This window comes from Homo sapiens, chromosome 1, assembly GCF_000001405.40.
Source record: "Homo sapiens chromosome 1, GRCh38.p14 Primary Assembly".
Taxonomy (NCBI): domain Eukaryota; kingdom Metazoa; phylum Chordata; class Mammalia; order Primates; family Hominidae; genus Homo; species Homo sapiens.
The window spans coordinates 182636508-182648544 of NC_000001.11; the positions used below are offsets into that span (position 1 = coordinate 182636508).

The window sequence follows — 12037 nt, forward strand, 5'->3', positions numbered from 1 at the left end:
TTGCTTCAACCTGGGAGGCAGAGGTTGCAGTGAGCCGAGATCGTGCTACTGCACTCCAGCCTGGCGACAGAGTGAGACTCTATCTCATAAAAAAATAAATAAATAAAATAAAGATTTAGAGACCTAGTGCTGAGATGTCTATAAGCCAGGATATCTCCAATACTCACAGCTTCTAATTTTTGAGCACCTACTCAATACCAGGTCCTGCTCCAGATGCTTTGCACATCATCTCTCATCCTTGCAGCAACCTGCCTGGAAATGTGGGTTTTGTAATCCCCCTTTTTCTAGTAAGAAAACTGAGGCTGTGAGTGGCCAAGTACCATCCCCGGCATCTCACACACACTGAGTAAGCAACAGCATCAGGATTTGAACTCAGGCCTGTCTGCATCCAAATCTCACCTCTATTCCCTCATCACATGGCTCTGGGGAGAGCCCCCTGCCACTCATGGTGCCTGTGAGCTGGTATTAGTGTGAGAGGAGATGGGGGCTACTTCTCTCTCCTTGAGAAGGGCATGCCTGCAGCCTGCGCCCCACTGGTGTGTTCTCCTTTCGGCAGATTCAGGGGATGGAGCAACACTTGTCTTCGGAGTTGTGGGCAAGACCAGGACTCCGCCTCCCCAGGAAGGATGACATGCTCCGAGGATGTGGGACAAACTCGCATGGCTGCGCCTGTACCCGCTGCCTGGAAACGAACAGCTTGGGCGGATAATTGGCTAGTCCAATTTCCAGCGGGCTTTGCAGCATGTCTTTTAGCCACCATTTCCCACCAGGCCTCCAGCTTCTCCAGGAGCTCAGATTTCTGAGCGAGCAAAAGACAGAGAGAACTGACCCTCCCATTTCTCCTCCTACCTTCATCTGTAGCAGACCAGCATTGGTGTGGACTCATCCATGACATCCTATGAGCGATTTAGCTCCAGCACCCCTGACAACACCCTGCCACCCCCATTTCCTTGCCCCCCGGCACCTATGCACCTGCCCCACTCCCATCTCTTCCCCATATTTCCGTCTAGTCCACAGCACAGTAGAGGTTCAGAGCACCAGCTCTGGATTTCTAAATCCAGGGCTTTAAATCCCAATTCTGCCACGTACACACTGTACGGCCTTGGGTAGATCACTGAAGTACCTCTCTGTGCTTCGGTTTCCTCACCTGTACATGGGGATTAATAATAGTGTTTATCTGTGATGGGCTGAACTGAGTCCCCCAAATTCCTATGATGAAGCCTAACCCTAGTACCTCAAAATATGTCTGTATCTGGGGATAGGGCTTGTACGAGGCGATTAAGTTAAATGAGGCCATTAGGATGGGGCTTTAATATGACTGGTGTTCTTATAAGAAGAGGAAGAGACACCAAGGGTTAGAGTACAGAAGAAAGATTGTGAGGACACAGCAAGAAGGCAGCCATCTGCAAGCCAAAAGGAGAGACCTCAGAAGAAACCAACCCTGCCAGCGCCTTAATCTTGCACTTCTAGCTTCCAGAACTGTGAGACAATAAAACTCTTGTTTAAGCCACTCTGTGTGTGATACTTTGTTTTCTTAGCCCGAGCAAACTCATACGTTGCCTCATATAATTGTTGCAGGGGCTGGGCTTGGTGGCTCATCCCTGTAATTTCAGCTACTCAGGGGTCTGAGGTGGAAGGAATGCTTGAGCCCAGTTCAAGGCCAGCCTGGGCAACATAGTGAGACACTGTCTCTACAAAACAATTTTTTAAATTAGCTGGGTATAGTGGTGCACACCTGCAATCCCAGCTACTTAGGAGGCAGAGGTAGAAGGATTGTTGTGTCCAGGAGTTTGAGGCTGCAGCAAGCTATGATAGCACCACTGTACTCCAGCCTAGGTGATAGATGAGACCCATCTCTAAAATAATAATAACAGTAATAATAAACTGTTGCAGGGACCCAACTAGATGAACCATCTAAATTGCTGGTAAAGTACCTGGCCCCTAAGTGTTTCCTATTAGCATAGCAGCTTCTCATCATGCAGCCATTTACTTTCTATACCACTCATTTGGTAAGTGCCAAGGCTTATAAAGCATTAAGTCTTTCTAAGAATCAAGTAAGTTCTATGAGAGTCCAGGTTTTAGATTTCTTGCCTCCACCCCCAATCTACCCAAGTGACTAATCTATAAGAGGTGCTCAGCCGGGCGTGGTGGTTCATGCCTGTAATCCCAGCTCTTCGGGAGGCTAAGGCAGGTGGATCACAAGGTCAGGAGATCGAGACCATCCTGGCTAACACGGTGAAACCCCGTCTCTACTAAAAATACAAAAAATAGCCGGGCATGGTGGCGGGCACCTGTAGTCCCAGCTACTTGGGAGGCTGAGGCAGGAGAATGGCGTGAACCTGGGAGGCGGAGCTTGCAGTGAGCCGAGATCATGCCACTGCACTCCAGCCTGGGCGACAGAGCAAGACTCCATCTCAAAAAAAAAAAAAAAAAGAAAGAAAAGAAAAGAAAAGAAAGAGGTGCTCAAAAAACATTTGTAGATGTAATGTTCTTCCAATAAATATTTAGGAACTAGGGCAGTAAACAAAAGAGACCCAGGGAGTCTGGGTCTGGAATTACAATCTCTCTCTACCTTCAGGGATTTTAGAGTTTAGTAGGGAAGGGATGTGATGTCGATTCTGTAATATCATTTGCTTTGAGTGTTTTTCTTTTGCATTTATCTGAGAAGCAAGTGAGTTATGAATAAGGTGCTGGCTTGACTCCCTAGTGATTCCAATATGAGAGAATGATGCCACTTAGCACATACTGTGTGCCTACTAGGTGCCACATTCTTCCTAGCTTAATGTTCATAATGACCCCAAGCAGTTGACTCTGTTATTATTTTAGTTTTACAGATGGGAAAACTGAGGCACAGGGAAGTAAATTCCCTAGGATCACACAACTTGTAAGAGTTAAAGCTGAGATTGAAACCTAATCTGGCATCACAGCCCAAACTACCAGGAACAGCGTGCTCATGTAACCCTAGTCAAAGGCTCTCAGGCTTGTGGCTTTTCTGTTTCCATGGCTGAGCATCCAGCCAGTGACCCAGGGTGTGGACTGGGATGTCCCTCTGTGCTGTGGAATGAGGCATGAACATGGGAGGCAGCACACATAGCATGTCCCCACCCTTTCCCTCCAGCTTTACTACCCTTTCTGGATAGGGGACCAGGACAGACTCTAAAATGGACTGAATATTTGTGCCCAGACCCCAACACTTATATACTGAAACCATGAGCCCAATGGGATGGTATTAAAAAGTGGAGCCTGTGGGAGGTGATGAGGCCATGAGGGTGGAGCCCTTGTGAATGGGATTAGTGACTTTTATAAGAAACCAGAGAGCTGGGTAGCGTTCCTTCCACCATGTGGGGATATAACAAGAAGTTGACCGTCCACAACCTGGAAGAGAGCCCTCCCCAGAGCCCGACCGTGCTGGCACTCTGATCTTGGACTTCCAGGCTCCAGAACTGTGAAGAACAATATCTGTTGTTTATAAACCACCAGTCTGTGGCACTTTGTTACAGCAGTCCAAACAGATTAAGACAGGCCCCAACTAAGAAGCACATCCTCCAGAGGAAGTTATCTCAGTGATCTCTTCTGTCTCTCTCTCTCTCCATGGCTTTGTTTGTAGATCCTAGGACCAGAAGGGACTTGGCTTTTGTTTCTGTACATGTGCTGCGTGTTAGTGAGATGCCAGGCTTAGTGCTAAGTGTCTTACACGTGTAAGAGCCTCTGTCAAGGCCTAGGAGAGTGATCTCAGATACCAAAGCAGGTTCCAGACCAAGCCAACACTCCAGGGAGGGAGTGGAGAACAAGTGAGTGGCACTGAGAATCCATCCCTCAGCAAAAGATCAGGGGCTGGAGAGAACTTGTGAAAGTTTTTGGAGAGAACTATTGGTGTGCTGTGAGCCCCAGCCCCCTGGAAGGACGGGCAGGGTGCCTACGTCTCACCTCACTCCAAGGGAGTGTGGGTTCTGTGGGTCCTTGGAGCCTGACATGTGCCCCCTGATGCTTGAGGACCCAGGAGATGGGTGTCTATTCCAGCCTGGAAAATAAAAAATGTTAGCAGCGGGCTGGCTGGTGGCTCTGGCTACAGAGCAAGAAGAGCAGCTGCTTTCTTCTAATTCTAGGGAAAAATAAGATCCAAATGGTCCCAATGGGCCCACTGTGGGCCTCTGGAGAGAAGACTAGCATGAGTTCAACCTAGGACCTGTCCAAGTGGGCAAGCGGACTGCAGCAGAGAGAAGCTGGGGCACTGTCAGGAAGGACCAGTCCACCCGCCAGAGTGAATCATTCACCCTCACTGGGAGACTGCAGGGAGCAGATTCCCAAGACACACGGTCTCCAATGAACCAGGAAGGACTCCCCTTTCCCCTCCACAGAGTCCTCCAAGGCTGGAGAGCCCACAGCCTATCTCAGATGGCATCTACATCAGGCCTGACCCCCCACCCACACCCCTCATCCCTGACCTCTCATCTTTCCCCTTCCACTCTCTCCTGGAGGGGTCAGGAGCCCCATGTGGGAATAGGGGTAGAAGGAGTAGAAGAGCAAAGCCAGAAAGACAGAAACCAGCCACACCCCCTCCCAAGTGGCGGACCCCTGTCTGCAGCAGCCCAACCTGCCACTACTCCTTGCCCAGTCTACAAAATTGGAATTGAGGGTGATCATTTGCTTTACAAAAGGACTTTTCTTTTAACCCAAAGGATTCATCTTTGAAGAAATGTCAGCTTTCCTTTAAAGACAGACCTTTTCCAGAGCATTTTCAATTATGTGGATGGTTAAGGTTTTGCATATCTCTGTCTTATCACCCTACTTTAAGAATGAGCTTTTGTGAGCAGATACAGTGCCTTATTCTCCTTCCATCCCCTCCACAGGACCTGATCACCAGAGGCACTTAAAGATCTGATGACTAATACACACTTTTTGGGGACACACTGATTGTATAAAGTGAGGTACAGCCCTAAGCAGTATGAACCCACTGCATTTCCAGATTGCTCCAGCTGAACAAATACAAAAACCATCCCCATCCTTTTTTTCTCTCTGCATTTTCAAGCAGTAGGTGGTACTAATAAAAACACTACCTCAAACTGGGCCAGCACTTTACAGTTTCAAAGCCACTTTCATAACCCATAGTCACTCTCCACCCCACGCTCATCCCCAAGCCAGGCCAATCCATTTCCACCCACACCCCTGCTTCTCCTGATGGCCAGCCCTGTGCCAGCCACTGCCAGGTGGGCCCACGTGCCCTCCCTCCAGCGAGTCCATGTGTGATGTGGACAGTTTCTTCATAAAGAGTCAGCTGGGCAGAAATGTGGACAGAGAGCAGAGAGCAGCTTGTTCAGGTTCTGTTTATTATGTTCTCACAGCCTTGTTTATAGTAAAGGTGAATGACATGATTCCACTTTACACGATAATGAAAAAACTCAATGAGGACTCCATCAGCCAAGCGGTTTATATGGCAGATGAGCTGCTACAAATCTGTTGTGTGCTCGCCGCGTGACTCAGCTAATGCTACCGGGGTTGGAGCGCACACCGAGCCCAGCCACCTTTTCCATACCTGGCAGAGGGAAGGGAGTGGAAGGACCAGAAGGGAGTAAGAATCAGGAAAGGAACAGTTTATTGAAAGGACCCAGAGCCCAACCTAGGAAGGCCAGTGGCCCCATCCTGAAATCTCTCATCTTGGTCCACAGCATCTTGTGGAGTCCTGAGAGGCCACGGGGACAGGAAGGCATCCCTGCTCTTGGCTTCTTCCTCCACCATCTCATGCCGAGTGGCATGGTGGGACAGGCTCTCAGTGCCAGGGAGACTTTGCCACCTCTCTTGCTTCTAACCCAAAGGGATGCAGATTTAAAGAGGCCTGACACTTGGAAGAGTGAAGGGTGGCCTGGGATGGAAAACTGTGATGCCTCTGCCTTGCATGGAAGTGGGTGCAGACAGGGTCAGGAGAACTCTGGACATCCTTGTTGCTGGGAGACCACCCTGCCTCTGCATTTGCTACTCATCCCTTCTCTGATCCACGGAGAAGTAGACACCATGTTAGCGGCTGGTCTCTCCCACCTGCTCCTTCTTCTTCAGTCTTCCCCATTTTGCCCTCACCCAGCTCTCAGCACAGTTAAGTTCACGGCTTTCCCTCACAGCAGAGCCAGCTGAGCTGCTCAGCTCAAGTGCCCAGGGCCTGCACCCAGAGGCTGGGCCCGCAGCCTGCGCAGAACACTCTTTCACAGCTTTGGTTTATTCAGAGCAGCAGTTCTGGGGAAAGCACCGGAGATTAAAATCAACTAGGACCTTCCCAGCTGCCCACCCAACGTGGGACCAAAGAGGGAATGGTGAGGGCTTGGAAAGGCCTCACAGATCTTGATACCCCCAGGACGTGACACTCTCCACTGAGAAATTTGGAAGTTGTGTTACTACTATTATTATTACCACGACGCTCTTCACTCACCACTTGAGTGGGGGTTCCAACTACCTTGTCACGTGGCCTTGGGTACAGAGACACAGCCTAATGCAAAAATGGCCAAACACAAGGGCGCAGGAAAACAGACAGGGGAAACAGTCTAGGAGACAAGCTTGGAGGAGACAGGACTCAGAAAGCATGGCAGAGCGTCTTTCGATCAAGGGTCCCTTCAGCTACCACCTTCGGCATGGCCGCTGCCCAGCAATGCACTCAGCTTGGGCCAAAACACCTTTATCTCAAAGGAGAAAGTCAGACGCAGAGGGCATAGAGGCAGCCATCCCGAGTCAGGCTGCAGGGCTGGCCAGGTTCCTCGGTATCTACGTGCTTGCATGTGGAGATACACCAGCCCCCTTGGCCCACACAGCTGTGTCTCCCCCCTCCCCCAGCCCCCCCGCCCCCGCGCTGTGTTCCTCCTCACTCCTTAGACTCAATGCTTCCTAAGTTCAGCTGCACATTGGAATCACCTGTGGAGCTTTAAAAATGACTGATGCCTGGGTCTCTAACAAAAGCTTCTGATTTGGCTGTTCTGGGGTGGGACCTGGACATCTGGGTTTTAAAAACTCCCTAGGTGATTCTAAGGAGCAGCCAAGGTCGTGAGACTCTGTCTAAGAGTCCAAGTCCACAGGCCACTAGCCATCTAGGAACTTATTAAAAATGTGGATTTCTGGGCCCCATCTCAGGTCTATCAGATCAGCATCTCTGGGTGTGCACCTGGGAATTAGCACGTGTCACAGGCTTTCCAGGTGATTCCTGTGCATGCTCAAGTTTAATGAGAAGGACTGCCTCAGAGGATTCTTCCTCACCCCAGAGGTGCCCAAGGCCATGAATGGTTGATACTGACAGTATTCTATTTAGTTTGCCAAGGGCAATGACGAATCTCACACCAGCCCCCAAACAAGTTAGCCCTCCAGTGGGGCAAGATCACTCAGGGATGGAGAGCAATTCTAGAAGTCACAGCTCTGCCTAGACTTGCCTGGACTTGCCCTGCCCTGGCTTGCCTGGAGCCTGCATAGGCCCAGGACTGAGCAAGCCTCAAGTCCAGAAGGCAAGTCCACAGCACAGGCTCGGCTTGAGGAGCCAAGGAAGACAGGAAATAAATGGAAGTGATACCCAAGGACATGGGCTTGCGGAAGAGGCAATGGGAGAGAGGGCAGGACTGGGAAACATGGAAGCTCAGGGATGAGGTATGCTTGGATATTGCTCTAGATGTTGTAAACATTTCTCTTTGTTTCATCACAGACCAAAATCTGGGTTGGCACGACCAGAGTGCCTGAAAGTAGGCATCAGAGTGGAGAGCTCTGTGCCTCTTGTGGGAAGCAGGGCATACAAGGTATGAGGAAAGCTCCACCCCACGGGAAGATCATGTCTGCCGTGTACTAGTCTAATGCTCACAGTTGTCACACACACACAAACACACAGAGACACTCCACAGGAGTACCATAAATTTAGCTATCACGTTCCTCTACACATGGACACATGCCCACATACCCTTGCTTAGCTGCAAAATTCAGGATCCCCAAGCTTGGTCTTTCACACCTCCCCATTGTGGGAGGAAGTCACCAGGGCGCCATGACACCACCATCTGCAGCCTTCGTTTCCTCAATAGTTGGCAAGAACTCTAGGCCTCTCTATGAGGCCATCGCACGACACTCTTGTTCAGGCTTTTCTCCTTGGAATAGTGGAAGTGGAGAAAAATCCCCTTTCAGAATGTTTCACATTTCTATAACTCTGTGCAGTTCTAATTTATATGCACCTCATATTCGACAGTAGAGTTGGCAGCAGATGCACATTTCATATGTAAACAATGTTTAAAATACCCTGTTAGAGAATTTAATCATTAAATTAATTCTGGCAGCTTTATCTAAGAAAGAATGATTTGTTTTTTTAACCACGGTTGGGAGGATACTACCTGATCTAACTAGGAACACCCATTTGAGGCTTTGGAGTTCTCAAACACAAAATTCCACAGGTCTTTTCGGTGTCTGTGAGGGCTAGGAGACATGTGTTCTTCTCTCCCCTTGAGGTTCACACAGTCACACCCACCCTCACTCACAGATAACAATGTGCTGTAGCAGTGCAGTGGCCCTAGCACTAGTGGGACTCAAGGGCTTTCTTGGCCTGGTCTAGCTATAGCTAAAAAAGGAAGAGATTCTCAAAGTTACTGGAGAGGAACACAAGCACTAGAACGCCACCAGCATAACGTTAAAAGGCCCCTCACCCCTTAAAAGGAAAATGGTTCAGCCCAGTTCTCAATCATCTGCACTCCAGAGCTTATGCCTAATCATGTGCTGTTCCACTTAGTCAAGCTGAACGTTTTGTAGATCTGCAATGAATCCAAATCCACTGGTCGTGAATTATTCCAATAGTAACTCCACTCTGTTATCCTCTCCACCTGGAAACCAGCCTCTTACATGCCCCTCTTTCACTTTCCGGTCTCTCTGCTAAAGGTTCATCTCCTGGGCACTAGTCTTGTGCCAAAGTCAGCTTTTTCCTGGGTGGCTAGAGTAGGTTCCAGGCTGCTCACTCATCCTCCAAGGAAGAATTGCCTGACACATTTCCAAGAGCAGCTGCAGGGTACCATGAAAGCATTTTAGGAAGGTTGTCCACGTCCAGATGTTCACAGTGATCTTCTTAGCCACACCTCCTATTTCATGCTCAATTCCAAAAGGTCAAAGATCAAGAAAGAAGGTGCTTCATAGTATCCAAGAGAGAGATCTTTCTAAGAAAGCATTTTCCCAGGAAGTATGCTGGAAAGAGTTTCAGCCTAAATTCCCATTCTCCCCCATCATAATTACATGACCGGCATGGAAGGGGGGAGGTGGAGATACAGGGAAAGTATTAGGCACCATGGGAGCACTCCATGCTATAGGAATTCACCTCCCTTTGCCAAGCTGTCATCCTAAGACATCAGTGATGTATGATGCTGCAGAGAGGTGAGGGCAGAGAAGACACTGAGCAACAGACAGGTTACATGGTACCCCTTTGAATAGAAGTCTACTGGTGCTACTTGCCCTCGTCTCTTGACTTCTGGAAAAGTTCTTCGTAGAATTGAGGAAGATTTGCAAGCTGTATCTTTCTTAATGGCAGTTCCACTTCAGAAGTCATGAAGAACATCACCCAAGACTCTTTCTGGAAATGTAAGGTTAGGGTAGTCTTGTGAATTTCCTAGGCCAAGATGGGAAGTAATCACAGTTTTTCACACTGGTCCAATGGAAATGGAAGAAACAAACAACTCCATGGATTTCACTCCTTCTCTGAGAGGTCACCTGTCAATGACAGAACTAGAAACCTGGAATTCCACAGAAACCTCTCTCCTAAGCTGTGAGATCCCAGTGAGCAGAGCTGGCCACTACAAATCACAGAGTTGAGCCCAAGTCTTTCAGCTATTCCTCCCAGGGATTTACAACAAGTGGAGAGTCAGGAATCCTAACCGAGGAGGGTGTGGAGGTGGTGGGAATTGCATTTGCATTATTTACAGATTAGCCTAGCACAGCAAATCTGCCCTCTCAGCAGAGGTGACCCAAGGCATTATATGAAGGGCAAGTTGCTGACCCAGAAAAGGGTGACAGCGGCAAGGCGCTACCACTAACCAAAACACAAACATGGGTAAATGGAATAGAGTCCAAGCTCCGGCAGCTGGGTCATACTTTGGAATGGCCCTTCATTCCCTCCTCACCCCCAGCCTCCCACCCCCAATGCCACCGCTTTTGAACACCTATGACATTTCACATTAGAATATGATCTTGGCAGCAAGTGGAGGGGAAAGCCGGTGATTTCCAGGAGTTCCCTTCTGAGGTCTAACTGAGCCTCCTCTGGCTTTGGGACAGCAGATCTAAGTACATTTTGGACCTCAGGAACCTGGGGTAAGAGTCTTTCTCCATGAGGCTGTGTACTTTTCCTTGGGCTTGGTCAAAGCAAGTCAGGGATGGCTCCTGCAGGTTCTTCCTCGTGGCTTCTCGGGTCTGGAAGTCAATGTTTACCTAGAGATACAAACAGAGAGCAAGGTCACAGGCCCTCAAGGGCCAAGGTTTCTGGCAGCTGGCCCTAACTATGCAATAATTATGAATGACAGCATCTACATATTTAAGGTGATTTCTGCTTTTCAAATTGCTTCCATGGAGGTCATCCCTTTTGATCACAGCAAGAATCCTGTGGGGTCTGAAGACCAGATATTCTCAGTCCCAATTTATAGACAACAATACTGGAAAGAAGAGACTAAAAAGCTTGTTTAAAGTAGTATGGAAAGTTAGTAACAGAGCCAAGGCAAAATCCCAAATTACTTGAATCCCTAATCCAGGGACCTTCACCATGGCAGGCAAAGGGATAGATCCAAGCCAGTTGCTAACGCAAGTCCCCTGAAGTAAGCTTTCTGTCCTCTCCTTTCTTGTCTACTAAGGAAACAAATGCCCTGTGGAGGGAGGCCCTGGTTAGAATGCACATCTGTGTTCCAAACAGCATTATAAAGGGCCTGTAGCATCCTAGCCAACTGGTAAAGACTTCTCGCATCCCAAGTCAAAGCATAATTGAAGGAATCTAAAAATGCAATGCACTTAAACTTGTAGCAAACATTTTTCTTCATTTAAACCCTCCCCTCCCAAGTGAAATTCTGTATTATAACTCACAACAGCAGTATAATAGAAATTCATCCTATTATTACAAATAAGTATAATTAAATAATGTAAATAATTGTAATTACTCATTAATGAGCAGTGGCAAATACTGAACAGGTGCTTTATCTCTCATGTTCTGAAAAGTAGGTACGCTTTTACATTGGGGAAATTGAGACCCAGAGAGGTTTAGTAACTTGACCAAGATCTCATAGCTAGTAAGTGGTGGAGCTAAAATTGAAACAAGATTTCAAAGCAGATCCACATTTCATTAAGCTATGCTGCTTTCCATCAGGAAAATGAACATAGACTCGGTAGCACTTATTCTTGCAAAATCTCTGTAGCAACACAGTTCCTGCTAGCACATGTTTAACTGACAGATAACTAAAACACTCCTAATGGAGCTCCTTTGATGGAAACCCTGGGTTTCAGTTTCTTAAAAATGATCCTTTTTTCATCAAGGGCCACCAGAGTGATGAGGCTCAGTTTAGTATAAGAAAGTCCTCATCAAGCCTGGCTCAGATCCTCTCTGAGGAGAGAAATGCAAGCTAGGAGCCATGGATAGACAGGATGGTCGCCGCTGCCAACACACCTCCCGTGGAGCCTGCACATCCACAAACTCCTCAAAGATCCTATGGGCCTTAGAGACCAGTTTTGCAGTTGACCTGGTCTTCTTGAACTCCTCACAGGCCAACCAGAATTCCAGGTTCTCCTCACTGAACTCCGTCTTCAAGAAGGCACGGAATGCAGCCACCCCATCTGCGGATGTGGGAGGAAGAAAAGAAGAGAGATAGGAAGCAGCTTAAGTTTAAGAACTGTAGAAGAAAGAAAGGAAGTAATAGTGTGAGGGTGCCCCTAATTGTCCAAGCTCACTGCTCCTCCACACCCTCTTGAAGACCCCATTCTCATCTGGGTGCAGTGGCTCACGCCTGTAATCTCAGCACTTTGGGAGGCCGAGGTGGGTGGATCACCTGAGGTCATGAGTTCGAGACCAGCCTGG

The 12037-nt window shown here is 48.3% G+C and overlaps 1 protein-coding gene across 9 annotated transcripts in view, besides 2 other annotated features; it reads right to left on the reverse strand.

The window, feature by feature from the left end:
- Positions 1-5310: 5310 nt before the first annotated feature.
- Positions 5311-12037, reverse strand: part of RGS8 (regulator of G protein signaling 8) — a 110559-nt gene continuing 103832 nt past the window's right edge. For all 9 annotated transcript variants that reach the window (XM_011510089.4, NM_001387847.1, NM_033345.4 and 6 more), the window contains 2 exons: positions 11630-11796; positions 5311-10410 (listed from right to left, as the gene is read on the reverse strand). In XM_011510089.4, the coding sequence (XP_011508391.1) occupies positions 10228-10410; positions 11630-11796 (350 nt within the window). In that variant the 3' untranslated portion in view covers positions 5311-10227. The remainder of the gene's footprint in view (positions 10411-11629; positions 11797-12037) is intronic.
- Positions 6979-8178: an enhancer, noted in NCBI's record as "MED14-independent group 3 enhancer chr1:182612621-182613820 (GRCh37/hg19 assembly coordinates)". NCBI's record gives its function as "activates an origin of replication core promoter dependent on BRD2, BRD4, P300/CBP and CDK7 cofactors, and independent of MED14, by STARR-seq in HCT116 cells {active_cell/tissue: HCT116}" and the evidence as "EXISTENCE:reporter gene assay evidence [ECO:0000049][PMID:35650434]".
- Positions 7210-7489: an enhancer, noted in NCBI's record as "active region_2206". NCBI's record gives its function as "activates an Ori minimal core promoter by ATAC-STARR-seq in GM12878 lymphoblastoid cells {active_cell/tissue: GM12878}" and the evidence as "EXISTENCE:reporter gene assay evidence [ECO:0000049][PMID:35858748]".